The sequence below is a fragment of the Homo sapiens genome, chromosome X, assembly GCF_000001405.40.
Source record: "Homo sapiens chromosome X, GRCh38.p14 Primary Assembly".
Classification (NCBI taxonomy): Eukaryota; Metazoa; Chordata; class Mammalia; order Primates; family Hominidae; genus Homo; species Homo sapiens.
This window is the reverse complement of record NC_000023.11, coordinates 1,302,086-1,329,901: the sequence shown is the minus strand read 5'-3', so window position 1 is coordinate 1,329,901 and position 27,816 is coordinate 1,302,086. Positions and strand designations below refer to the sequence as shown.

The following is a 27,816-nucleotide window of genomic DNA, read 5'->3' as shown; positions in this document are numbered from 1 at the left end:
CAGGTCTCCCTCTGGTGACGCAGCCCTCCTGTGTGCCTGCTGGAGCAATCTCGGGCCTTGCCAATCTCCATGCCAGAAGCCGCACCTTGATCACAACATCCTATCCCCCAGTCCTGGAGGTCAGGAGTCTGAGATCAAGATGTCTCAGGGTCGGGCCAGGCGTGATGGCTCACTCCTGTAATCCCAGCACTTTGGGAGGCTGAGGCGGACGGATCATGAGATCAGGAGTTCGAGACCAGACTGGCCAATATGGTGAAACCCCGTGTCTGTTAAAAAATACAAAAATTGTCCAGGCGTGGTGGCGGGTGCCTGTAATCCCAGCTACTGGGGAGGCTGAGGCAGGAGAATGGCTTGAACCCGGGAGGCGGAGGTTGCAGTGAGCTGAGATGGCGCCACTGCACTCCAGCCTGTGTGACAGAGCAAGACTCCGTCTCAAAAAAAAGCAAAAAACAAGAAAACAAAAAAGGTGTCTCAGGGTTGAGCTCCCTCTGGGGGCTCTAGGGGAGGGTCCTTCCTGCCTCTCCCGCCTCCTGGGGGCTCCAGGCATCCCTGGGCTTGTGGCCGCATGACTCCAGTCTCTGCCTCCGTCTCCACGTGGCCTCCTCCTCTCTGTCTGTGTCTCCTTTTCTGTCTCTTAGAAACACACCTGTCATTGCATTTAGGGCCACCCCCCTCCAGAACGATCTCATCTCAAGATCCTTTACTTAACAACATCTACAAAGACCTCTTTGCCATGAAAGAGGGGTCCCAGCATATCCAGCCTGCATTTGCCTGGGATGAATTAAACCAGGAGTAGTCAGTCGGGCACGGAGGCTCAGGCCTGTAATCCCAGCACTTTGGGAGGCTGAGGCGGGTGGATTGACTGAGCTCAGGAGTTCAAGACCAGCCTGGGCAACATGGCGAAACCCTGTCTCTACTAAAATACAAAAAATGAGCCAGGCATGGTGGGGCGCGCCTCTGATCCCAGCTACTCAGGAAGCTGAGACAGGAGAATCGCTTGAACCCGGGAGGCGGAGGTTGCAGTGATCCGAGATCGCGCCACTGCACTCCAGCCTGGGAGACAGAGTGAGACTCTGTTTCAAAAAAAAAAAAAAAAGAAAAAGAAATCTCAGAGACTCAGCCCCACTCCGGGTGACAGAGTGAGACTCCATCTCAAAAAAAAAAGAAATCTCAGAGACTCAGCCCCACTCTGGGTGACAGAGCAAGACTCCATCTCAAAAAAAAAATTGGAAATCTCAGAGACTCAGCCCTACTCTGGGTGACAGAGCGAGACTCCATCTCAAAAAAAAAAAAAATAGAAATCTCAGAGACTCAGCCCCACTCTGGGTGACAGAGCGACACTCCATCTCAAAAAAAAAAAATAAAAAATAGAAATCTCAGAGACTCAGCCCCACTCTGGGTGACAGAGTGAGACTCCATCTCAAAAAAAAAACAAAAAACAAACAAATGTCAAAGACAGCCCCACTCTGGGTGACACAGCGAGACTCCATCTCAAAAAGAAAAAAAAAAAAATAGAAATCTCAGAGACTCAGCCCCACTCTGGGTGACAGAGTGAGACTCCATCTCAAAAAAAAAAAAAAAAAAAAAAACAAATCTCAAAGACTCAGCCCCACTCTGGGTGACACAGTGAGACTCCATCTCAAAAAAAAAAAAAAAAAAAAAAGAAATCTCAGAAACTCAGCCCCCCTTCCCCAGGGATCCCAGGAGTGAGGGGGCTGCAAAGCCTGTGACCGGATGTGTTTTCGCTGGGAAAGTTCGCCAGGAAAGCCCCTCGTCTCAGGGGAATTCCACGGGCAATACTGGGGTCACGGAAACCACTCCTGCCTGGGTTGGACGGTAAAGGCTGCCTGGAGCCAGGAACTAGCCCCACAGGTGCCTGCAAGGACCCTCCTGGGGATGGTGTTGCTGAGACCTTCCGTGACCAGTGGGTCTCTCAGACCACGTGCCCACTCTTTGCTCTTGCCCTGGCTTCTAAGAGGGTGGACGTGCAGGTCTGTCCCGGGGAAATGAGGGATCCTCCAGCCCCCCACCCTCCACCCACCGTGAGGCTGACTCCTGGTTCCCGGCTTCTGCAATGTGGCTGGTTCTGCTACTGCTCAGAGCCCCCCAGGGCAGGGGCCACGGTCTCCGGCAGTTGCAAGACCGACCCACTTCTGTCTGAACGTGAGATACCATCCCCTGGGTTACTGTTAAAAGGGGTCGTGGGGATGAGGGGCTCCAACTGTGCTCATATTTATTTATTTATCTATTTTTTGAGATGGAGCCTCACTCTGTCACCCAGGCTGGAGGGCAGTGGCGTGATCTTGGCTCACTGCAAGCTCTGCCTCCCGGGTTCAAGCGATTCTCCCGCCTCAGCCTCCTGAGTAGCTGGGATGACAGGTGCACACCACCACGCCCAGCTAATTTTTGTATTTTTAGTAGAGACGGGGTTTCACCATGTTGGTCAGGCTGGTCTCGAACTCCTGAACTTGTGATCCGCCTACCTCTGCCTCCCTAAGTGGTGGGATTACAGGCATGAGCCACTGCGCCCAGCCATGCATTGTACCATAGATCTCTTGAATCTATCTATCCTGCAAAACCACCTCCCGGGTTCAAACGATTCTCCTGCCTCGGCCTCCTGAGTAGCTGGGATGACAGGTGCACACCACCACGCCCGGCTAATTTTTGTATTTTTAGTAGAGACGGGGTTTCACCATGTTGGTCTGGCTGGTCTCAAACTCCTGATCTCTGGGGATCCGCCCACCTCGGCCTCACAAAGTGCTGGGATTTCAGGCGTGAGCCACAGTGCCTCGCCTGATATTTTTGTTATTTATTTATTTATCTATTTTTATTTATGTTTTTTTGAGATGGAGTTTTGCTCTTGTTGCCCAGGCTGGAGTGCAGCGGCTCTATGTAGGCTCACCTCAACCTCCACCTTCCTGGTTCAAGCGATTCTCCTGCCTCAGCCTCCTGAGTAGCTGGGATTACAGGCACCCGCCACCACGCCCGGCTAACTATTGTATTTTTAGTAGAGATGGGATGTCACCCTGTTGGCCAGGCTGGTCTCGAACTCCTGACCTCAGGGGATCCACCCGCCTCGGCCTCACGAAGTGCTGGGATTACAGGCGTGAGCCACTGCAACCGGCCTGATATCTTTATTTTTTAAAATTATTATTTTATTTTACTTTATTTTTTTTGAGATGGAGTTTCACTCTTGTTGCCCAGGCTGGAGTGTAGTGGCATGATCTCGGCTCACCTCAACCTCCGCCTCCCGAGTTCAAGCGATTCTCCTGCCTCAGCTTCCCGAGTAGCTGGGATGACAGGTGCGCGCCAACACACCCGGCTAATTTTTGTATTTTTAGTAGAGATGGGGTTTCACCCAGTTGGCCAGGCTGGTCTCGAACTCCTGACCTCAGGTGATCCGCCCGCCTCGGCCTCCCAAAGTGCTGGGATGACAGGTGTGAGCCACTGTGCCCGGTCTGATATCTTTTTTTAAAAAATTTAATTTAATTTAATTTAATTTTATTATTTTTGAGATGGAGTTTCACTCTTGTCACCCAGGCTGGAGTGCAATGGCACGATCTCAGCTCACCTCAACCTCTGCCTCCCAGGTTCAAGCGATTCTCCTGCCTCAGCCTCCCATGTAGCTGGGATTGCAGGCCACCATGCCCAACTAATTTTTATTATTATTATTCTTTTTAGTAGAGACGGGGTTTCGCCATGTTGGCCAGGCTGTTCTCGAACTCCTGACCTCAGGTGATCCGCCCGCCTCGGCCTCCCAAAGTGCTGGGGTGACAGGCGTGAGCCACCGCGCCCGGCCTGATATTTTTTCTATAACTCCATCCTGCTCACTCAGAAGTTTCTCCACAGCTGAGCTCATCCGTAGAGCCACAGCCAGAGTGTCCCAGAGAAACCTTGTTTTGTGATCAGAGGTTCTGAAAACCAAAGCTACCGTCACCGACGGTAATGTGGGCACCGCCTGAGTCACTCAGGGGCTATCGCAGGTGGCACCTTGACTGGTTGGCTGGGGACACGGGGCTTATCTTGGTCACCGGCTCCTGGGGGGCAGGTGGTCACAGAGAGAGCAAATCATCTCTCTTTCACTGGGCAAGTGTCAACTCAGTCTGTCAACACAAAGGAAATCTTTCGAAAGATGCTGGCTGTCAGCACCTGTTCATCGCTCCCCCTGCCTGAACCCAAAGACGTGGATGAAGTTTTGAAATTAAAATCTGTCCGATCAGGAGCCACGGCCTCTTAGGACATGTGTTATTTCTTCATTGTTTTGACCCAAGGTCGGGGTCAGGGTGTTTCTAATTCCCGCGGGAATCTCCTGGCTGGTGTGTGTCTTCAGCACCCACCGCAGGCATTTTTACTTTTCCTTCATAGCACATTTGAGGCATCTGGCCTGGCGAGATTCCCCTGCCTCGCCTTCCCCTCCGCTCCCCTTCCCTCTCCTCCCCACCTCCCTCTCTCCCCTCCCCTCCTCCCCCCCTCCTTCCCGCCTCCCCTCCCCTCTCCTCCTTCCTCCCTCCCCTCCCCTCTCCTTTCCTTTCCTTTCCTTTTTTTATTTGGAGACAGAGTCCGCAGGCTGGAGTGCAGTGGTGCAATCTTGGCTCACTGCAACCTCCATCTCCTGGGTTCAAGCAATTCTCCTGCCTCAGCCTCCCCAGTAGGTGGAACTACAGGTGCCCGCCACCACGCCCGGCTAATTTTTTTGTGTATTTTAGTAGAGACGGGGGTTTCAACACGTTGGCCAGGCTGGTCTCGATCTCCCGACCTCTTGATCCGCCCGTCTCGGCCTCCCAAAGTGCTGGGATGACAGGCGTGAGCCACGGCGCAAAGTATGTTTTGTTTTCAACTCAGGACGGGGCACCAGGTACACCTCTCTGGAAAACCTTTAAAAGAAGAGAGAACCTGGTGTCGGTGGCCAGTTTGGGGCACAGACAGCTGAGTTGTGACCTGAGGGAGGAGGCGGAGAAACCCAACCGTCCTGTGATCGCTGAGTACCCAGTTCTTGGACACAGGGCTCTGACAAGGAGGTCAGACTTTCCTGCCTTTCTTTCCCTCAGGGGTCCTCAGAGTCTGCACCTCCGGGTGAGGACAGCAAAGGGCTTCATGGGTGTAAGCTGCTGACAGCTTTCCCTGCGTGCGTCCACATCTTGCGTGGTCCCGACTCAGACAGGCCTTTGTTAGGTGGCAACGAGAGTGCTTCTTGGTCATGCCCAAGCGGCCCTGCTGGGCAAAAGCAACCTCTCCATCCACAGTGGGGCCAAAGCACTTATGTCCTTTTTCTTTTTTCTTTCTTTCCTTTCTTGCTTTTCTTTCTCTCTTTCTCTTTCTTTCTTTCCTTCCTTCCTTCTTTTCTTTCCTTTCTTTCCCTTCCTCCCTCCCTCCCTCCCTTCCTTCTTTCCCTCCTCCTTCCCTCCCCTCCCTCCCTCCCTGCTTGCTTGCTTGCCCTTTCTCTTTCTTTTTCTTTCTTTTTTCTCTCTCTCTTCTTTCTTTTTCTTTCCTTTCTTTTCCTTTTTCCTTCCTTCCTTCTTTCTTTCTCTTTCTTTCCTTTCTCTTTTTCCTTCCTTCCTTCCTTCCTTTTTCTTAGAGACAGGATCTTGCTATGTGGCCCAGGCTGGCCTCTAACTCCTGACCTCAAGTGATCCTCCAGCCTCTACCTCCCAAAGTGCTGGGATTACAGGCGTGAATCACCCCTCCTGGCCTCTGTTTTGTTTTTGTTTTTGTTTTTAAAGGCAGAGTTACACTCTGTCACCCAGGCTGGAGTGCAGCGGCGTGATCTTAGCTTACTGCAACCTCCACCTCACAGACTCAAGTGATCCTCCCACCTCAGCCTCCCCAGTAGCTAGGGCAACAGGAACATGCTACCATGTCCAGCTAAATTTTTGCATTTTTTTTTTTTTGAGACGGAGTCTCACACCATTGTCCAGGCTGGAATGCAGTGGGGTGATCTTGGCTCACCACAACCTCGGCCTCCCGGGTTCACGCCATTCTCCTGCCTCAGCCTCCCGAGTAGCTGGGACTACAGGCGCCCACCACCACGCCCGGCTAATTTTTTGTATTTTTATTAGAGACGGGGTTTCACCGTGTTAGCCAGGATGGTTTCGATCTCCTGACCTCATGATCTGCCCGCCTCTGCCTCCCAAAGTGCTGGGATTACAGGCGTGAGCCACTGCGCCCAGCCTGCATTTTTTTTAAGAGATGGGGGTCTCACTATGTTGCCCAGGCTAGCCTCAAACTGCTGGATTCAAGAGATCTTGCTGCCTCAGCCTCCCAAAGTGCTGGGATTGTAGGTGTGAGCCACCACACCCAGCCCAGACAGCTTCTAAAGCTCTTCCCACTTCTCGAGGTGCGGTCCATGGAAGCATCACTAGCACCACCTGAGAGCTGCTGGGAGGTCCTTGTGGCCACCACCCAGATGTGAGAATCCGGTCGCCTGAAGGTGGGGGACATTGCTGCCCTCTAGTGACTGACGACATGCTCCTCTCTGCAGCCATCCCTGCCAGTCCCGACTAGTAACTATGGACGTTTAATAACAGGAACTGGGGCCAGGTGCGGTGGCTCACCCTGAGACGGGGTTTCACCATGTTGGCCAGGCCGGTCTTGAACTCCCGACCTCAGGTGATCCGCCCGCCTCGGCCTCCCAAAGTGCTGAAATTACAGGCGTGAGCCACCGCTCCCGGTTCATCTTCAGATTCTTTACTTCATTACATCTGCAAAGACCATTTTATATTTTATTTTATTTTATTTTATTTTATAATTGTAATGTATTGTATTGTATTTTTTTTGAGACGGAATCTCGCTCTGTCGCTCAGGCTGGAGTGCGGTGGCGCGATCTCGGCTCACTGCAACCTCCACCTCCCGGGTTCACGCCATTCTCCTGCCTCAGCCTCCCGAGTAGCTGGGACCACAGGCGCCCGCCACCACGCCCGGCTAATTTTTTGTATTTTTAGTAGAGATGAGGTTTCACCGTGTCAGCCAGGATGGTCTCGATCTCCTGACCTCGTGATCTGCCTGTCTTGGCCTCCCAAAGTGCTGGGATTACAGGCGTGAGCCACCGCGCCCGGCCAATCTTCAGATTCTTTCCTTCATCACATCTGCAAAGACCTTATTTTGAAATAATGTCCCATTCTGAGGTTAACGTGGACATAAATGTTAAGGGTCACTGTTCAACGCACTACAATTTTTGACCTGAAAATCTCTCAGTGGGCAGCTTTGGAGGAAGGACGTCGCTCTGTCCATTGTGTGATTGTTGAGTAGCTGAGCCAGGGGCGTTCAGGAGAACCGTGGCTCCTCCGAGAGCTGCCGCGTGACCACAAAGGGTTCAGTGGGGCCCCACAGCTAAACAGTTCCATGAAATGAGCACTGAACTTGGAGGTGACTCATGGCCCAATCACAGGATGTCATTGAGAAAGAAAAAGATACTTACAGGGTCTTTCTCTGGAGAGCTACCTTTCAAAAAAAAAAAAAAAAAAAACAAACACACACAGTTAAGATGGTAAGTGGGCCAGGTGTGCTGACTGATGCCTGTAATCCCAGCACTTTGGGAGGCTGAGGTGGACGGATCACGAGGTCAGGAGATCGAGAGCATCCTGGCTAACACGGTGAAAGTCCGTCTCTACTAAAAATACAAAAAAAAAAAAAATAGCCGGGTGACGTGGCGGGCACCTGTCGTCCCAGCTACTCGGGAGGCTGAGACAGGAGAATCACTTGAACCTGGGAGGTGGAGGTTGCGTTGACCAGAGATTGCGCCATTGCACTCCAGCCTGGGTAACAGAGTGAGACACTGTCTCAAAAATAAATAAATAAATAAATAATAGGATGTTATTATATTGCCCAGGCTGGTCCTGAAATCCTGGGATCAAGCAATGCTCCTGCCTCAGCCTCCAAAAGTTCTGGGATTACAGGCATGAGCCACCATGCCGGGGTAATTTTGTATTTTTAGTGGAAAAGGGGTTTCACCACGTTGGTCAGGCTGGTCTCGAACTCCCGACCTCATGATGCGATCCACCCACACCTCGGCCTCCCAAAGTGATGCAATTTACAGGCATGAGCCACCGCACCCGGCTGATACTTGGGGCAAGTTTGTGGCCATTCAGAGGCATCATAAGCAGTGTGGCAAAAAAATCTGAGTTGCCTGATGTGGACGTTCTCAGCTACGCTGAAGAAGCGGGGTTCTGCCTTTTTGTGACAGTGCCTACAATACACAATGGTCTTCTTTTTGCAGTCCGTTTAGCTCCACGTTGCTCGCATTTTAAGATTTCGCTTGGTGATGGTCACTGTTTAAGTTAACCCCCAAGCGTGTACTGAAATGCTGTCTGCGTTTCTTTTTTTTTTTTTTTGAGATGGAGTCTCGCTCTGTCCCCCAGGCTGGAGTGCAGTGGCACGACCTCAGCCAACCGCAACCTCTGCCTCCTGGGTTTTTATTTTATTTATTTATTTATTTTTGAGATGGAGTCTCACTCTGTCACCCAGGCTGGAGTGCAGTGGCACGATCTCGGCTCACTGCAAGCTCCGCCTCCCGGGTTCACGCCATTCACCTGCCTCAGCCTCCCGAGTAGCTGGGACTACAGGAGCTTGCCACGTCGCCCGGCTAATTTTTTGTATTTTTAGTGGAGAAAGGGTTTCATTGTGTTAGCCAGGATGGTCTCGATCTCCTGACCTCGTGATCCACCCGCCTCGGCCTCCCAAAGTGTTGGGATGACAGGCGTGAGCCACCGTGCCCGGCCTCTGTCTGCACTTCTTAAAAGGGACTAGAATGGGTCAATCCAAAATATGCCAAGTTGGGGCTGAGCCTATAATCTCAGCACTTTGGGAGGCCGAGGAGGGTGGGTCACCTGTGGTCAGGAGTTCAAGACCAGCCTGACTGACATGGTGAAACCCCATGTCTGCTAAGAAAAATTACAAAAATTAGCTAGACGTGGTGGCGTCTGCCTGTAATCCCAGCTCCTTGGGAGGCTGAGGCACGAGAGTCACTTGAACCTGGGAGGTGGAGGTTGCAGTGAGCTGAGATCGCGCCACTGTACTCGAACTTGGGTGACAGAGTGAGACTCTGTCTCAAAACAAACAAACAAAAAAAAACAGAGATCATAAGGTTGACAAAACAGGCTGGGTGCAGTGGCTCATGCCTGTAATCCCAGCACTTTGGGAGGCTGAGGCGGGCGGATCACAAGGTCAGGGGATCGAGACCATCCTGGCCAACATGGCGAAACCCCGTCTCTACTAAAATACAAAAAAAAAAAAAAAAAAAAATTAGCTGGGCATGATGGTGGGCGCCTGTAGTCCCAGCTACTCAGGAGGCTGAGGCAGGGGAATCGCTTGAACCCTGGAGGCAGAGGTTGCAGTGAGCCAAGACCACGCCATGGCACTCCGGCCTGGGTGACAGAGTAACACTCCGTCTCGGAAAAAAAAAAAAAAGCCACATTGGCATATAAATTCTTCTGAACTGAGGCATTTGAGAATCAACAGATCTAGAAAGAAACTTCTTGGAGCTTCCCTTTTCTGACTAAAAGCAAAAACCTCTGAAAAATGATGAGTGTTGTAAATTCTCTCTCTGGGGAAGTTTTGTGACCACAAAGAAGACAGCATTAGCCGGGTGCAATGGCTCACGCCTGTCATTCCAGCATTTTGGGAGGCCGAGGCGGGTGGATCACCTGAGGTCAGGAGTTCGAGACCAGCCTGACCAACATGCTGAAACTCCATCTCTAATAAAAATACAAACAGGCCGGGCGCAGTGGCTCATGCCTGTAATCCCAGCACTTTGGGAGGCCGAGGCAGGTGGATGACGAGGTCAGGAGATCGAGACCATCCTGGCTAACATGGTGAAATCCCGTCTGTACTAAAAATGCAAAAAATTAGCCAGGCGTGGTGGCGGGCACCTGTAGTCCCAGCTACTCGGAAGGCTGAGGCAAGAGAATGGCGTGAACCCAGGAGGCAGAGCTTGCAGTGAGCCGAGATCGTGCCACTGCACTCTGGCCTGGGGGACAGAGCGAGACTCCATCTCAAAACAAACAAACAAACAAACAAACAAACAAATTAGCCAGGCGTGGTGGCACGTGCCTGTAATCCCAGCTACTCGGGAGGGTGAGGTAGGAGAATCGCTTGAACCTGGGAGGCAGAGGTTGCAATGAGCCAAGATTTTGCCCCTGCACTCCAGCCTGGGCGACAGAGTGAGACTCTGTCTAAAAAAAAAAAAAAAAAAACAGCAAAGGCGTGAAGAATGGCTGTAATTCCAGAACTTTGGGAGGCTGAGGCAGGAGGATCACTGGAGCCTAGCAGTCAAGACCAGTCTGGGTAACATAGTGAGATTCCATCTCTACAAAAAACTTGGGCTAGGCATGGTGGCTCATGCCTGTAGACCCATCACTTTGGGAGGCCGAGGAGGGTGGATCGCTTGAGGCCAGAAGTTGGAGACCAGCCTGGGCAACATAGTGAGACCCCGTCTGTACTAAAAATACAAAAATTAGCCGGGTGTGGTGACGTTCAGCTGTGGTCCCAGCTACTTCAGGAGACTGAGAGAGGAGGATCGCTAAGCCGGGGAGTCTGAGGCTACAGTGAGCCATGATCGTGCACTCCAGCCTGGGCAAAGGAGCAAGATGCTGTCTCAAAAATTTAAAAAGGAGGCCGGGCATGGTGGCTCATGTCTACAATCCCAGCACTTTGGGAGGCCGAGCCGGGTGGATCACCTGAGGCCAGGAGTTCAACACCAGCCTGGCCAACATGGTGAAACCCTGTCTTTACTAAAAATACAAAAATTAGCCAGGCGTGGTGGCGGGCACCTGTAATCCCAGCTACTAGGGAGGCTGAGGCAGGAGAATCGCTTGAACCCGGGAGGCGGAGGTTGTAGTGAGCCGAGATCATGCCACTGTACTCCAGCCTGGGTGACAGACCAAGACTCAGTCTCAAAAAATAAATAAAATAAAATAAAATAAAATAAATAAAGGATCATCATCACCAGGGGGCGAAAGGAAGCTTTGCAATTTTCTTTCTTTTTTTTTTTTGAGATGGAGTCTTGCTCTGTAACCCAGGCTGGAGTGCAGTGGCACGATCTCGGCTCACTGCAAGCTCCGCCTCCCGGGTTCACACCATTCTCCTGCCTCAGCCTCCCGAGTAGCTGGGATTACAGGTGCCCGCCACCATGCCAGGCTCATTTTTTGTACTTTTAGTAGAGATGGGGTTTCACCGTGTTAGCCAGGAGGGTCTCGATCTCCTGACCTTGTGATCTGCCTGCCTCGGCCTCCCAAAGTGTTGGGATTACAGGCGTGAGCCACCGCGCCCGGTCAGCTTTGCAATTGTCTTCCCAGACATCTGCAAACCTCTCCAAAGTCTTTTCTATCCTTTCTCTCAGGAGGGGCTATCGGCGGCTCAGGGGGAGTGGGGCAAAGTCCAACGGCCTGGGGGTAAGAGGAGAAGGTGCAACCACCCTTTGGCCAGTGGAGACAAAAGTTCAGCTTCGGCCTGGCGCAGTGGCTCACGCCTGTAATCCCAGCACTTTGGGAGGCCGAGGTGGGCGGATCACGTGAGGTAGAAAGTTCAAGACCAGCCTGGCCAACATGGTGAAACCCCGTCTCTATTAAAAATACAAAATTAGCTGGGTGTGGTGGCGTATGCCTGTAATCCCAGCTACTTGGGAGGCTGAGGCAGGAGAATCACTTGAACCCGGGAAGCAGAGGTAGCAGTGAGCCAAGATCACGCCATTGCACTCCAACCTGGGCAACTAGAATGAAACTCTGTCTCAAAAAAAAAAGTTAAAAAAAAAAAATTAGCCGGGCGTGGTGGCGGGTGCCTGTAGTCCCAGCTACTCGGGAGGCTGAGACAGGAGAATCGCTTGAACCCGGGAAGTGGAGGTTGCAGTGAGCCGAGATCGCTCCACTGCACTCCAGCCTGGGTGACACAGTGAGACTCTGTCTCACAAAAAAAAGAAAAAAAAAGAAAAGAAAAAAATTAGCCAGTCATGGTTGTGCATGCCTGTCATCCAAGCTACTAAGGAGGCCGAGGTGGGAGGATTGTTTAAGCCTGGGATGTTGAGGCTGCCGTGAGCCAAGAGTCGCCACTGCACTCCAGCCTGGGCAAAGGATCTTCCTAGCAATCTCTTACTTTCCCTCAATAGAATTCCTCTTTTCCCACTCCAGGAGAGAAGATCCAAGCCCCATTAGAATTTCTCTTCTTCCTCTTCTTCCACTCCAAAAGCTTGTACCTCCCTGGGAGCGTGGGTCTTCATTCTGAAGGCTTCTGTGCGTGCACGTTACAGAAATTTGCACGTTACAGAAATGGTGACCTGAGATGATACCATTGCACTCCAGCCTGGGTGACAAGAGCAAGACTCCGTCTCAAAAAAAAAAAATAAAATAAAATAAAAATAAAAAAAGCTGGGCGTGGTGGCTCACGCCTGCAACCCCAGGACTTTGGGAGGCCGAGGCGGGCAGATCACCTGAGGTCAGGAGTTCGAGACCAGCCTGACTGATGTGGAGAAAGCCCGTCTCTACTAAAAATACACAATTAGCCGGGCGTGGTGGTGCATGCCTGTCATCCCAGCTACTCGGGAGGCTGAGGCGGGAGAATCGCTGGAACCCGGGAGGCGGAGGTTGTGGTGACCTGAGATTGTACCACTGCACTCCAGCCTGGGCGACAAGAACAAGACTCTGTCTCAAAAAAAAAAAAAAAAAAAAAAGCTGAGCGTGGTGGCTCACGCCTGTCATCCCAGCACTTTGGGAGGCCGAGGCAGGCAGATCATAAGGTCAGGAGTTCGAGACCATCCTGGCTAACATGGTGAAACCTCGTCTCTACTAAAAATGCAAAAAAAATTAGCCGGGCATGGTGGTGGGCACCTGTAGTCCCAGCTACTCGGGAGGCTGAGGCAGGAGAATGGCGTGAACCCGGGAAGCGGAGCTTGCAGTGAGCCGAGATCGCGCCACTGCACTCCAGCCTGGGCGACAGAGTGAGAGTCCGTCTCAATAAAAAAAGAAAGAAAGAAAATATGCATGTCTTGTTTCTTAGTAATCTATCTAGTTCATTGTTAGTGATTATTCAGCAAACCGTTAGGGGGGCAAGCGTGTTGGCCCCACGCCCTCAACGCCTCTGTGTCTGGGGCGTCGGCTGCTGGTTTTGTGTCCACACAGGAAGACAGAATTAGGGAACTTGCTCCCCACGGCATGACTCAACAGGATGAGAGACGCAGGCACGGATGTAGGAGGTGGTGGTGCTGTTGATCTCATTCAGGAGAACCCAGGCGTTGGGGAGCCCCATGACGCCGGTGTTCCCTCCCGCGTGGATGGGCAGGGGCTGAACGTGAGTCTCCATGGCTCTTCCCGGGCCAAGCCCATCTCCAGGACATACCTTTCTCCTGTCGCTTGTTAGACGCTGTGCACTGAAGACCTAGCCTTACCCAAAGGGAAGTCTTGCCTTGGGTCTTGGCTGGAGGGTGGTGATACCTCAGGTCCTGGAATGGCCCCTGGTAGTATCTTTGCTGGCCTGGGGGCTTTGGATGGTTCACCGTCTAACAATGTGATTTAAGGTGAGGGTCTTGGAACAAGTGAGATCAGTTCCAACTTCCAGGAGGGAGCCTGAGAAATAGCAGATAGATCCCAACTACCTCTCTGTCTGTCTGTCTGTCTATCTATCTATCTATCTATCTATCTATCTATCTATCTATCTATCATCTATCTAATCTATCATCTGTCATCTATCATCTATCTATCTACCTATGTATCTATGTATCTGTCTATGTGTCTATCTATCCATCTGTCTAGCTCTTCTATCATCTATCTAATCTATCATCTATCTATGTATCTGTCTATGTATCTATGTATCTATGTGTCTATCTATCCATTTATCTATTCTATCTATCTATCTATCTATTGATCTATCTATCTGTCTATTGGTCTATCTATGTATCTATCTATATATCTATCTATCTGTCTATCCATCTATCATCTATTTTCTATCAATCATCTATTTATCTATCATCTATCATTTATTATCTATCATCCATCTATCATCAATCTATCCATCATCTATTATCCATCTAGAGTCTATCTATCTGTCATCTATCCATTCATCCATCTATCTATCCATCTATTTATCCATTCATCTATCTAATCTATCTATCTATCTATCTATCTATCTATCTATCTATCTATCTATCTATTATCTATTTTATCTATTTTCTATCTATCTATCTATGTCTATCATCTATCTAAAATTCATCCATTATGGCTGGGCAAGGTGGCTCACGCCTGTAATCCCAGCATTTTGGGAGGCTGAGGCGGGCAGATCACTTGAGGTCAGGAGTTCGAGACCAGCCTGGCCAACATGGTGAAATCCTGTCTCTACAAAAAATATAAAAAATTGGCTGGGGGTGGTGGTGCACACGTGTAATCTCAGCTACTCAAGAGGCTGAGGCAGGAGAATCACTTGAACCTGGGAGGCGGAGGTTGTAGTGAGCTGAGATCGCGCCACTGCACTCCAGCCTGGGTGACAGAATGAGACTCTGTCTCTTAAAACAAAATAAAATAAAATAAAATTCATCTATCATCTATCTATCAAATATCTATCAGTCAATCATGTATCTAGCTATTATCTGTTACCTATACATCTATTCATCTATCATATATATTTTTCATCTGTCATCTATCAATCATCTATCTGTCTTCTATATATATCATCTATTTTTTAAATTTCTTTTGAGACCCATTTTCACCACACCTGTCCTCATCATAGAATCTGTCTCCCCTCCCTCTCTTTTCTCCACCTGCACAACCCTGATCTCACGCAGGTGACCGATGACCCTCCCCCCCACAGTGTGACTCCCACCTGCATGCATCTTATAAACAGTCTTCTCCAGTTTAGGCATGCAAAGGATTGAATGTCTGCATTGCTCTTCCTTTGGTGCAGTGTGGTTGGGCAGGTGCAGTGGGGTTGGGCAGGTGCAGTGCGATTGGGCAGGCACAGTGGGGTTGGGCAGGCACAGAGGGGTTGGGCAAGTGCAGTGCGGTTGGGCAGGTGAAGTGGGGTTGAGCAGGTTCAGTGTGGTTGGGCAGGTGCAGTGCGGTTGGGCAGGTGCAGTGGGATTGGGCAGGTGCAGTGCGGTTGGGCAGGCACAGTGGGGTTGGGCAGGTGCAGTGGGATTGGGCAGGTGCAGTGGGATTGGGCAGGTGCAGTGGGATTGGGCAGGTGCAGTGGGATTGGGCAGGTGCAGTGCGATTGGGCAGGCACAGTGGGGTTGGGCAGGCACAGAGGGGTTGGGCAAGTGCAGTGCAGTTGGGCAGGTGAAGTGGGGTTGAGCAGGTTCAGTGTGGTTGGGCAGGTGCAGTGGGGTTGGGCAGGTGCAGTGGGGTTGGGCAGGTGCAGTGGGATTGGGCAGGTGCAGTGGGATTGGGCAGGTGCAGTGGGATTGGGCAGGTGCAGTGCGGTTGGGCAGGCACAGTGGGGTTGGGTAGGTGCATTGGGGTTGGGCAGGTGCAGTGCAATTGGGCAAGTGCAGTGCGGTTGGGCAGGTGCAGTACGGTTAGGCAGGTGCAGTGTGGTTGGGCAGGCACAGAGTGGTTGGGCAGATGCAGTGGGGTTGGGCAGGCGCAGTGGGGTTGGGCAGGTGCAGTGTGGTTGGGCAGGCACAGAGTGGTTGGGCAGATGCAGTGGGGTTGGGCAGGCGCAGTGGGGTTGGGCAGGTGCAGTGGGGTTGGGCAGGTGCAGTGGGGTTGGGCAGGTGCAGTGCGGTTCTGCAAAAGCTCCCTCTCAGCCAATATTGACAGCCTCTGCCCACCCATTCCTTGGAGAGGGTCCGTAGGTGCCAAAGAACACAGGGGAGGGGCTGATCGCCACAGCCTTCAGGGGCCTCAGTCATCCTAGGCCCTATCTCTGCTGGCTGTTTTTTATTTTTTATTTAATTTTATTTTAATTTAATTTTATTTTATTTATTCATTTATTTTGAGACAGAATCTCGCCCTGTCACCCAGGCCGGAGTGCAATCGCATGATCTGGGCTCACTGCAACCTCTGCCTCCCAGGTTCAAGCGGTTCTCCTGCCTCAGCCTCCTGAGTACAGCAACTGCAATTACAGGTGCCACCACACCCGGCTAAGATTTTGTATCTTTAGCAGAGATGGAGTTTCACCATGTTAGCCAGGCTGGTCTCGGACTCCTGACCTCAGGTGATCTGCCCACCTCGGCCTCCCAAAGTGCTGGGATTACAGGCATGAGCCACTGTGCCTGGCCACAGCTCCTCTCTGTCACCCAGATTGGAGTGCAATGGCGTGATCTTGGCTCACTGCAACCTCCGCCTCCTGGGTTCAAGCGATTCTCCTGCATCAACCTCCCAAGTAGCTGGGATTATAGGTGCCTGCCACCACACCTGGCTTTTTTTTTTGTATTTTTAGTAGAGACGAGATTTTGCCATGTTGGCCAGGCTGGTTTTGAACTCTGACCTCAAATGATCTGCCTGCCTTGGCCTTGCAAAGTGCTGGGATTCCAGGCATGAGCCACTGTGCCTGACCACAGCTCCTCTCTGTCACCCAGATTGGAGTGCAGTGGCGTGATCTTGGCTCACTGCAACCTCTGCCTCCCAGGTTCAAGTGATTCTCCTGCCTCAGCCTCCTGAGTAGCTGGGATTACAGGCGTGTGCCACCACACCCAGCTTTTTTTATTTTTTTTTTTGTATTTGTAGTAGAGACGAGTTTCACCACGTTGGCCAGGCTGGTTTTGAACTCCTGACCTCAAGTGATCCACCTGCCTTGGCCTGGCAAAGCGCTGGGATTATAGGCATGGCTACCACGCCCGGCCTCTGCTGTCTCTTTGACACCGGAGGCCTCTGCTTCTGAGGTAAATAGGGCCTGAGGTCTCTGAAACCCACAGGTTCATACCCAGGAATGTGGTGCTCCCTTGGGGAGGTGGACCTGCTTCCTGGGGCGCCCTGTGGGAGTCTCCTCCTCTCACTTCTTGCAGGCCCAGAGGATTCCACGCTTTTTCTTCCTTGCTGTGTTTTAGACGCTTCTCCCCACCAAGAGCCTGGCTCCATCTCTTCCCCAAGCTTTGACTTGTGAATCAAAAGGTCAGGGGTAGAAGGTTCCGGAAGGCTGCCTCTGCTCCATCGTCAAATCTCCCCTGAAACTCTGAAGCAAGGGGCCGGCTGGGGTTTGCAGGAGGGACGTGGAACACCCACGAGGGAGGAAACAGCTGGCACCTCACCGTCAGATCCATCCCAAGCTCGGCTCTCTCTCGGCTCCAAGTCCTGAAGTCCCCTGTAGGCCCTAGACCACCTGTCAGCCACCATCTCAGTTGATGTTTCGGTATCTGTGGCGATTGAATTACTCACTGATCGTGGGAGGCAAAATAATGTCCCGTAAATATGGCCATGTCCTAATCCCATGTGGGAGACAGAATAATGGCCCCAAAGATGTCCACGTCCTAATCCCATGTGATAGACAGAATAATGTCCCCAAATATGTCCACGTCCTAATTCCATGTGGGAGACAGAATAATGGTCCCAAAGATGTCCACGTCCTAATTCCACGTGGGAGACAGAATAATGGCCCCCAGCATGTTCTTACCTGGATAAGCATGCTGTGGACACATTACAGAATGCTCTCTATGGAAGGAGGACTTTTATTCCAGGGATATTGCCATGGAGAGATGATTCTGGAGTGTCCCCGTGGGCCTGACATGTAATTACAATTGTCCTTATAAGGAACAGGTGTGGTGGTTCACACCTGTAATCCCAGCACTTTGAGAGGTTGAGGCAGGTGGATCACCTGTGGTCAGGTCAACATGGTGAAACCCCATCTCTACTAAAAATACAAAAGTTAGCCAGGTGTGGTGGCAGGTGCCTGTCATCCCAGCTACTCGAGAGGCTGAGGCATGAGAATTGCCTGAACCCGGGAGGTGGAGGTTGTAGCGAGCTGAGATCGTGCCACTGCACTCCAGCCTGAATGACAGAGCGAGACTCCATCTCAAATAATAATAATAATAATTGTCCTTATGAGAGGGAGGCAGGAGAGTCACAGTCCAGTGAGATATGAGGAGTCAACAGCAGGCCTGAGTGACAGCAACCACCAATGAAGAAAGTCAGCCTTTTCTAGATGTGGGAAATGGAGGGAAATGAATTTCCGTCTCGTCTTAGTCTGTTTTGTGTTGCTACAAAGGGATTCCCCAGGCTGGGTGATGTATTTTAAAGAGAGGTTTATTTGGCTGGACGCGGTGGCTCACGCCTGTCATCCCAGCACGTGGAGACGCCAAGGGGGGCGGATCACGAGGTCAGATGGAGACCAGCCTGACCAACAAGGTGAAACCCTGTCTCTACTAAAACACAAAACAAAACAAAAAAAAGTAGCCGGGAATGGTGGCGGGCGCCTGTACTCCCAGCCACTTGGGAGGCTGAGGCAGGGGAATTGCTTGAACTGGGGAGATGGAGGTTGCAGTGAGCAGAGATTGTGCCACTGCACTCCAGCCTGGCGACAAAGCAAGACTCCAACTTAAAAAAAAAAACAAACAGGTTTATTTGGCTGATGATTCCACAGACTGTACAGGAATTGTGCCTTCAGCATCTGCTGCTGAGAAGCTCAACAACTTCCACTCCTGGTGGGAGAGGAAGGGGAGCTGGTGTTACATGGTGGGAGAGGTGGCAAGAGGCAGGGAAGGAGGTACCAGCCTCTTTTTCTTTTTACCTTTTTTTTTTTTGGAGACAGAATCTAACTCTGTTGCCCAGGCTGGAGTGCAATGGCGTGATCTTGGCTCACTGCCACCTCCGCCTCCCGGGTTCAAGCAATTCTGCTGCCTCAGCCTCCTGAGTAGCTGGGACTACAGGTGGCCGCCACCACACCCAGCTAACTTTTTGTATTTTTAGTAGAAGCGGGGTTTCACCATGTTGCCCAGGCTGGTCTCGAACTCATGAGCTCAGGCAATCCACCAGCCTCGGCCTCCCAAAGTGCTAGGATTACAGGCGTGAGCCACCATGCCCGGGCACCAGCCTCTTTTTGATAACCAGCTCTTTCAGGAACAAATAGAGAAAGAACTCACTCATTACTACAAGAAAGGCACCAAGCCATTTATAAGGAGTCCGCCCCCTCTTCATTCAAACACCTCCTGCCAGGTCCCACCTCCAACCCGGAGAACCAAATTTCAAACTGAGATTTGCAAGGGACAAACAACCAAACTATATCATCACTTTGTCCTCCAGAAGGAACCGGACCTACTAAAAACTGGATTTATAACCCAGGGAGGCCTGGCACTGTACAATAATAATTTTTTTTTTTTTTTTTTGAGATGGAGTCTCGCTATGTCATCCACGCTGGAGTGCGGTGTTGTGATCTCGGTTCACTGCAACCTCCTCCTCCCGGGTTCACGCCATTCTCCTGCCTCAGCCTCCCGAGTAGCTGGGACTACAGGCGCCCGCTACCACGTCTGGCTAATTTTTTGTATTTTTAGTAGAGATGGGGTTTCACTATGTTAGCCAGGATGCCCTCGATCTCCTGACCTCGTGATCCTCCCGCCTCGGCCTCCCAAACTGCTGGGATTACAGGTGTGAGCCACCGCGCCCGGCCATCAATTTTTTTTTTTTTTTAAATGTGATGGAGTTTTGCTCTTGTTGCCCAGGCTGGATTGCAATGGCGCAATCTCAGCTCACCAGGTTAGTTATTCAAGGAGGAGGCTACACAGTACCTCAGTAGTTGGGTTGGAAAGAGATGCAAAAGCTTCTTGGAGTCTAAGCATCTTTGCGAAGTATCACTTTTTTTGAGACAGAGAGATGGGGTCTTAGTTTGTTACCCAGGCTGGAGTGCAACGGTGCAATCATAGCTTACTGTCAGCTTGAACTCAAGTGATCCTCCCGCCTCAGCCTCCCAGATAGCTGGCACTACAGGCACAAGCCACCACGCCCAGCTAATTTTTGCCTTTTTTGTAGAGACAGGGTCTTGCTATGTTGCCCAGACTGGTCTTAAACTCCTGTCTCCAGCAATCCTCCAAAGTGTTAGGATTACAGGCATGAGCCACGGCGCCCAGCCAAATATCAGGTTTTTATTATTTATTATTATTGTTTGTTTTGAGATGCAATCTTGCTCTGTCACGCAGGTTGGTGTGCAATGGTGCGATCTTGGCTCACTACAACCTCCGCCTCACGGGTTCAAGCAATTCTCCTGCCTCAGCCTCCCAAGTAGCTGGGATGATGGGCGTCCGCCGCCGTGCCTGGGTAAATTTCTGCATTTTTAGTCCAGATGGGGTTTCACCATGTTGGGCAGGCTGGTCTTGAACTCCTGACCTCAGGTGATCCGCCTGCCTTGGCCTCCCAAAGTGCTGGGATTACAGGCGTGAGCCACCGCGCCTGGCCCCAAATGTCATGTTTTTAAATAAAAACATAGAAAATGATATAAAGGTTCACAGCATCATCAAGAAAACAGTTCCCCCGTGTCGCGGAGGCGGAGATGTCCATGCCATTCCTACACCCTCTGGGTCTCAGGTAATTTCCTTCACGGTCAAGACCTCTTCGCGGTAGCCTTTCCCTTCCTCTGGGGTGAATTCCTCCCAGATGATCTGAGAAAAAGGAGGGTTCAGGCTGTCAGATCTTCACGAGCTCAGCCTGGGACTCAGTGGGCTGTGTTTATTTTCTTTTTCTCCCTCGAGACGGAGTCTCATTCTATTGCCCAGGCTGGAGTGCAGTGGTGTCATCTCAGCTCACTGCAACCTCGGCCTCCCGGGTTCAAGCGATTCTCCTGCCTCAGCCTCCTGAGTAGCTGGGATTACAGGCGCCCGCCACCACAAATTTGACTGATCAGATGAGGCCCACTCTTCCCCCTTTAGACCTTCGACTGATTAGATGAGGCCCACCTTTCCCCCTTTAGCCGCCACCAGCTAAATTTTGTACTTTCAGTGGAGATGGGGTTTTACCATGTTGGCCAGGCTGGTCTCAAACTCCTGACCTCGAGGTGATCCACTCGCCTCGGCCTCCCAAAGTGCTGGGATGACAGGCATGAGCCACTGCACCTGGCCATGGGTTTTTCCTGGGGTAAAGATCTGAGACAGATCCACCCATGGGACCTCATAGTTGACGATGAACAGGGTGGTCTTTGGAAGAGCTTGTGAGCATGAAACCTGGGCAGGGTACAGCAGGTGCTAAGCCCCTGGAGCTGATGGAGCTCAGAGAAGGGAAGGTTGAAGCCTGAAGCCGTCATCCTGGCACCTCGATGTGGGGGACCCCTGGGGGTCAGTGGAAAGCGGGGGCCGGGGAGGAGGCTGGCGTGGGGGTGGAAGGTAATGGAATGACAGATGGCCAGGTCTAGGATGGGGGTGTGCAAGTGGCAACCAGGAGGATGTTACCTATGTGGCAGAGAAGAGGGCGCTGGGGGCAACCCTGGGCTGCAACTGGAGTTCCCCATGGGAGGAAGACACAGCCCCTGAGCTGGAGAGAGGTGGGTGGGAGAGGGCCACCCACGGGGTCTTGGGATGTGGGTCACGCAAGTCTCTCACCCTTAGTCACCCTCTCTGGGGTCTTGCTGTTCAGCCTCTCTCTCGGTCTCTCTGCCTCTTTTCTCTGTCTCCCTCTCTGTCTCTCTTTCCTCCCCCTCTCACCTTCTTCCACCCCCATCTCTGGGTCTCTATCTCCATCTTCCTGTGTGTCTGCCTCTTTTGGGTTCAGTCTCTGTTTCTCTTTCATCTCTTGGCCTTCGTCTCTGATACCCGGCACCAATGACGTGTCCCCGTGACTAGGCTACAGTCCCCAGTTATTGAATGAAACCATGACTCAGCGGCTGCTACGAAGGGGCTTTGTAGATGTCAAGTCCACAATCAGCTGATTTCCAGGAAAAGAGATTGGACTGGAGAATGTGGGTGGGCCTTATCTAATCAGTCAAAGGTCTAAAGGGGGTGGGCCTCATCTAATCAGTTGAAGGTCTGAAGAGGGGTGGGCCTCATCTAATCAGTTGAAGGTCTAAAGGGGGTGGGCCTTGTCTAATTAATAAGCTGAAGGTCTAAAGGGGAAGGGGGGAAGGGTGGGCTTCATCTAATGAGTTGAAGGTCTAAATGGGAAGGGTGGGTCTCATCTAATCAGTCAAAGGTCTAAAGGGAGAAGGGTAGGCCTCATCTAATCAGTCAAAGGTCTAAAGGGAGAAGGGTAGGCCTCATCTAATCAGTCAAAGGTCTAAAAAGGGAAAGGTGGGCCTCATCTAATCAGTTGAAGATCTAAATGGGGGAAGGACGGGCCTCATCTAATCAGTCGAAGGTATAAAGGGGAGGGTGGGCCTCATCTAATCAGTCGAAGGTATAAAGGGGAGGGTGGGCCTCATCTAATCAGTCGAAGGTATAAAGGGGAGGGTGGGCCTCATCTAATCAGTCGAAAGGCTGAAGGGGGAAGGGTGGGCCTCATCTAATCAGTTGAAGGTCCAAAGGAGAAGCGTGGGCTTCATCTAATCAGTCAAAGGTCTAAACGGGGAGAGTGGGCCTCATTTAATCAGTTGAAAGTCTAAAGGGTAAGGGTGGGCCTTATCTAATAAGCTGAAGGTCTAAAGGGGAAGGGTGGGCTTCATCTGATCAGTCGAAGGTCTAAAGGGGAATGGTGGGCCTCATCTAATCAGTCGAAGGTGTAAAGGGGGAAGGGTGGGCCTCATTCAATCAGCCGAAAGTGTAAAGGAGAAGAGTGGGCCTGGTCTAATCAGTCAAACGTCTAAAGGATAAAAGCTGAGGTTCCCCGACAAGAGTTTTATTTCCTTTTTAAAAATTTCATCTCCCACTCTGAGAATGCAGGACAGTTCTGCCTCTGGGATGCAGCATCAGCCCTGGCCTGACTTTCCAGCCTGCCAGCCTACTGCAACATAAGACGCAGTCCCTGAGCCGGAGAGAGGTGGGTGGGAGAGGAGCGCCAATGGGGTCTCAGGGTGCAGGTCACATGGTTCCTCGCCCTTGTTCACCCTCTCTGGGCTCTCGCTGAGACTAAGTCCGACTCCTCTGTCTTCCCTGTCTCTCTCGGTGTCTCTGTGTGTCTTTTATCTGCCTCCCTCTCTGTCTTTTTCCTCCATCTGTCTCTCTCTTCCACTCCCATCCCTTGCTCTCTGTCTCTTTCTGTCTCTCTCTCTCTCTCCCCTCTCTGTGTCCACCTATGTCTCTCTGTTTCTCTCTCTGTCCGTCTTTTTCTCTTTGTCCCTGTCTCTATGTCTCCTTCTCCCTCTCTCTCTCTTTTTCTGTGTCTTTCTCTGTGTCTCTCTGTCTTTGTCTCTCTCCCCTCTCTGTGCCTCTGTTCCTCTCTGTCTCTCTCCTCTCCCTGCTGGGGATGATTTTTTTGTTTTGTTTTGTTTTTGATAGAGAGTTTTGCTCTGTTGCCCAGGTTAGAGTGCAATGGTGCGATCTCGGCTCACTGCAGCCTCCGCCTCCTGGGTTCAAGTGATTCTCCTGCCTCAGCCTCCAGAGTAGGTGGGATTACAGGTGTGCGCCACCACACCTGGCTAATTTTTGCAATTTTAGTAGAGACGAGGTTTCTTCAGGTTGGTCAGGCTGGTCTCGAACTCCCGACCTCAAGTGATCCACCCGCCTCGGCCTCCCAAAGTGCTGGGATGACAGATGTGAGTCACCGCGACCGGCCCCCGCCTGGGTCTTTATGTTTGTTGTTTATCTGTCTCTGTTTCTCCATCTGTGTCTCGTGTCTCTCTCTTTCCTTCTCCCTTTTCTCCCTCCCTCTCTCTGTTTCTCTGTCTGTGTGTCTGCCTTTGTTTCTGTCAGTCTGTCTGCCTGTTTCCCTCTCTTTTGTGTCTCCTCATTCTCTTCTACATTCCTCTCTCTCTCCTCCATCTCTCTCCCTCCATCTTTCTCTGCCTCTGTCTCTTGTCTCTATTTCTGCCTCTCCTCTCTACCTTCTTTTTTCTTTTGAGATGGAGTCTCGCTCTGTCACCCAGGCTGGAGTGCAGTGGTGCGATCTCGGCTCACTGCAACCTCCGCCCCCTGGGTTCAAGCCGTTCTACTGCCCCAGCCTCCCGAGTCACTGGGATTTCAGGCGTACACCACCACACCCAGCTAATTTTTTGTATTTTTAGCAGAGATGGGGTTTCACCACGTTGGCCAGGCTGGTCTCGAACCTCTGACCTCAGATGATCCACATGCCTCAACCTCCCAAAGTGCTGGGATGACAGGCATGAGCCACCGTGCCTGGCCCTCTCTACCGTCTTCTCCTCCTTTTCTTGACCACCACCCTGCCTCAGTTTCTCCTGATGGAGCTCACAGAGATGACTCTGACCCCAACCTTGGAGAAGACCCCGACCCGGGAGAAGGCCCAGGAGTGGGATACAGATTCCAGCCACACCGGTGGTGACGCTGCGGTCCCATCTGGTGGAGAAGCAAGATGGTCGACACCCAGAGGCCGTGTCCCACGCTCCCCACTCCCCACCTTCCATCCCAGGTCACTGCTCCGCCCACCCCTGCCTACCTCGTCTTCCACCTCATGGTTATCATTCAGTTTGTCTTTGATCTGTGGAACTGGCGGGAACAGCCGCTGTATCCTAAGGAACCTGAGACACAGAGAAAAAGTGTGAAGAGAATGAACCCCGGGTCACCAGAGTTCCTTCCATCAACGCCCTGTGCCGAGGGATGCTGCGTGCGGGGTGTCTGCGCTCAACTATGCAAAACTTCACTAAGAATCACCAAGTGACGAAAATCTTAAGGAACTAGGCCGGGTGCAGTGGCTCACACCTGTAATCCCAGCACTTTGGGAGGCCGAGGCGGGTGGATCACTTGAGGTTTGAGACCAGCCTGGCCAACGTGGTGAAACCCCGTCTCTACTAAAAATACAAAAATTAGCTGAGTATCGTGGTGCTTGCCTGTAATCCCAGCTATTCAGGAGGCTGAGGCAGGAGAATTGCTTGAACCTGGGAGGTGGAGGTTGCAGTGAGCCGAGATTGCACCACTGCACTCCAGCCTGGGTGACAGAGTGAGACTCCATCTCAAAAAAACAAAAAAAAATCACCAAATGACAAACATCTTAAGGAACTAGGCCAGGCATGGTGGCTCACACCTGTAATCCCAGCACTTTGGGAGGCGAAGGCGGGTGGATCACCTGAGGTCAAGAGTTAGAGACCAGCCTGGCCAACGTGGTGAAACCCCATCTCTACTAAAAATACAAAAATTAGGTGAGCATCGTGGTGCATGCCTGTAATCCCAGCTACTCGGGAGGCTGAGGCAGGAGAATGGCGTGAACCCGGGAGGTGGAGGTTGCAGTGAGCCGAGATTGCAACACTGCACTCCAGCCTGGGCAACAAGAGCAAAAGTCTGTCTCAAAACAAAAAACAAAAAAACAAACAAACAAAAAAAAACCCACCTCCAACCCAGAAACCACGCTCTTCAAGGCTAGTGGGATCAAGGCAGGCGTTTCCCCTCTGGAGCTCAGCCCTTCAACAGCAGTGACTTCAGACTCCCTGAAGCTGCCCACAGCTGACTGCCTGTTCCATTCCCATCCCTGTGCCCGAGGGGCTGAGGGAAGATTCTAGAAAGATTCCCTGTGAGCATCACTGTGTATTCCTGTAGGATCTCCCGTTTTCTCCGTTCTTTTGTTTGTTTTGAGATGGAGTCTCGCCCTGTCGCCCAGGCTGGAGTGCAGTGGTGCAATCTCGGCTCACTGCAACCTCCACCTCCCGGGTTCAAGCGATTCTCCTGCCTCAGCCTCCCGAGTAGCTGGGACTACAGGCGCCCGCGACCACGCCGGGCTAATTTTTTAGTAGAGACGGGGTTTCACTGTGTTAGCCAGGATGGTCTCGATCTCCTGACCTCGTGATCCACCCGCCTCGGCCTCCCAGAGTGCTGGGATTACAGGCATGAGCCAACACGCCCGGCCAAGGCTGTGTTTCTCTTTCTCAGAGACAGAGACAGAGACTGGACAAAGCGCTTTCCTCCCGGCCTGGCCTGTTTTCATTGGGGAGGCCCAGGTGTTTCACAGGTTACCTTTTAAAGAGGAAGCCGAGGACGATGCCACAGACAAGGGTTCCCACGATTAGGAGCACATAAATGTACACAGAGCCGAGGTTCCCGTCGTCAGAACCTGGAGAGACACACAGGTTTGCGTCTGCGGTGAATCGTTGACGGACATGTGAAAGGAAATTAAATCTCTTCGGGTGTCCAAATGCATTTAGCCAAAGGGAACAGTCAAGCTGAGAACTGGGCCCAGCAAACCTGCCTCCCTGTTTTTGGTTCTTAACTAAGATGGCTCTGAGATGAAAGCAACCTGCCTGCCCTATGTTTTGCCCACAAGGAAATTTCTGGTGAGCTGTTAAAACTTTGCCACCATGGGCCGGATGCGGTGGCTCACGCCTGTCATCCCAGCACTTTGGGAGGCCGACACGGGAGGATCACCTGAGGTTGGGAGTTCGAGACCAGCCTGACCAACATGGTGAAACCCCGTCTCTACCAAAAATACAAAAATTGGGCCAGGCACGGTGGCTCACACCTGTCATCCCAGCACTTTGGGAGGCCGAGGCGGGCGCATCATCTGAGGTCAGGAGTTCGAGACAAGCCTCACTAACATGGTGAAACCTCATCTCTGCTAAAAAAAAAATACAAAATTAGCCAGGCATGGTGGTGGGTGCCTGTAATCCTATCTACCTGGGAGTCTGAGGCAGGAGAATCGCTTGAGCCTGGGAGACGGAGGTTGCAGTGAGCCGAGATTGTGCCATTGCACTCCAGCCTGGGTGACAGAGTGAGACCCTGTGTCAAAATAAATAAATAAATAAAAATATTTAAAAAATGGCCAAGCATGATGCATGTCTGTAATCCCAGCTACTCAGGAGGCTGAGGCAGGAGAATCGCTTGAGCCTGGGAGACGGAGGTTGCAGTGAGCCAAGATCGTGCCATTGCACTCCAGCCTGGGTGACACAGCGAAACTCCATCTCAAAATAAATAAATAAATAAATAAAAATAAAAATACAAAAATTGGCCAAGCGTGATGCATGTCTGTAATCCCAGCTACTCGGGAGGCTGAGGCAGGAGAATCGCTTGAACCCGGGAGGCGGAGGTTGCAGTGAGCCGAGATCGTGCCATTGCACTCCAGCCTGGGTGACAGAGTGAGACCCTGTCTCAAAATAAATAAATAAATAAAAATATTTAAAAAATGGCCAAGCATGATGCATGTCTGTAATCGTAGCTACTCAGGAGGCTGAGGCAGGAGAATCGCTTGAGCCTGGGAGACGGAGGTTGCAGTGAGCCAAGATCGTGCCATTGAACTCCAGCCTGGGTGACACAGCGAAACTCCATCTCAAAATAAATAAATAAATAAATAAAAAGAAAAATACAAAAATTGGCCAAGCGTGATGCATGTCTAATGTAATCCCAGCTACTCGGGAGGCTGAGGCAGGAGAATCGCTTGAACCCAGGAGGCAGAGGTTGTAGTGAGCTGAGATCGTGCCATTGCACTCCAGCCTGGGTGACAGAGCGAGAGTCCGTCTCAAATAACAAAAAATAAATAAACAAAAAAAATTTCTTACAGGTGCAGTCACCCCGGCCCACCAGACACGAATGCACCTCTGATCATCCCTGTACCCCATTTTGTCTGTGTGATCTGGGAGGTAGAGGTGCACCACTGCACTGCAGCTCACAATTTTTCTTCTGTACCCTTTGTTGAGGTGAAAACCGCATACTTCTCAATATCCTGCCCCTTCCCCTTTTCAATTTGGAGCCCTCAAAATCATCTTCAGAGAAAAGCATAGACCTGTCTCCTGGGCAGCCGAGACCTGGCTTTGAAGAGAGCTTCCCCGGACGGGCAGGGTGGCTCACGCCTGTCATTGCAGCACTTTGGGAGGGCGAGGTGGGCAGATCACCTGAGGTCAGGAGTTCAAGAACAGCCTGACCAACATGGTGAAACCCCGTCTCTACTAAAAATACAA

At 51.5% G+C, this 27,816-nt stretch overlaps 1 protein-coding gene across 38 annotated transcripts in view; it reads right to left on the bottom strand.

The window, feature by feature from the left end:
- Nucleotides 1-4,683: 4,683 nt before the first annotated feature.
- CSF2RA (colony stimulating factor 2 receptor subunit alpha) overlaps nucleotides 4,684-27,816 on the bottom strand; it is a 56,405-nt gene continuing 33,272 nt past the window's right edge. For 8 of the 38 annotated variants that reach the window (NR_027760.3, NM_006140.6, NM_001161529.2 and 5 more), the window contains 3 exons: nucleotides 25,883-25,979; nucleotides 24,375-24,456; nucleotides 19,967-20,500 (listed from right to left, as the gene is read on the bottom strand). Coding sequence is in view for 37 of the 38 variants with exons in the window: in NM_006140.6 (NP_006131.2) it covers nucleotides 20,423-20,500; nucleotides 24,375-24,456; nucleotides 25,883-25,979 (257 nt within the window). In the remaining variant the exon portion in view is untranslated. Of the gene's footprint in view, nucleotides 4,875-6,773; nucleotides 7,438-17,526; nucleotides 17,634-19,966; nucleotides 20,501-23,960; nucleotides 24,275-24,374; nucleotides 24,457-25,882; nucleotides 25,980-26,539; nucleotides 26,642-27,816 lie in introns of those variants that run through there. The other 30 variants (NM_001379167.1, NM_001379169.1, NM_172249.4 and 27 more) reach the window with 14 other exon arrangements.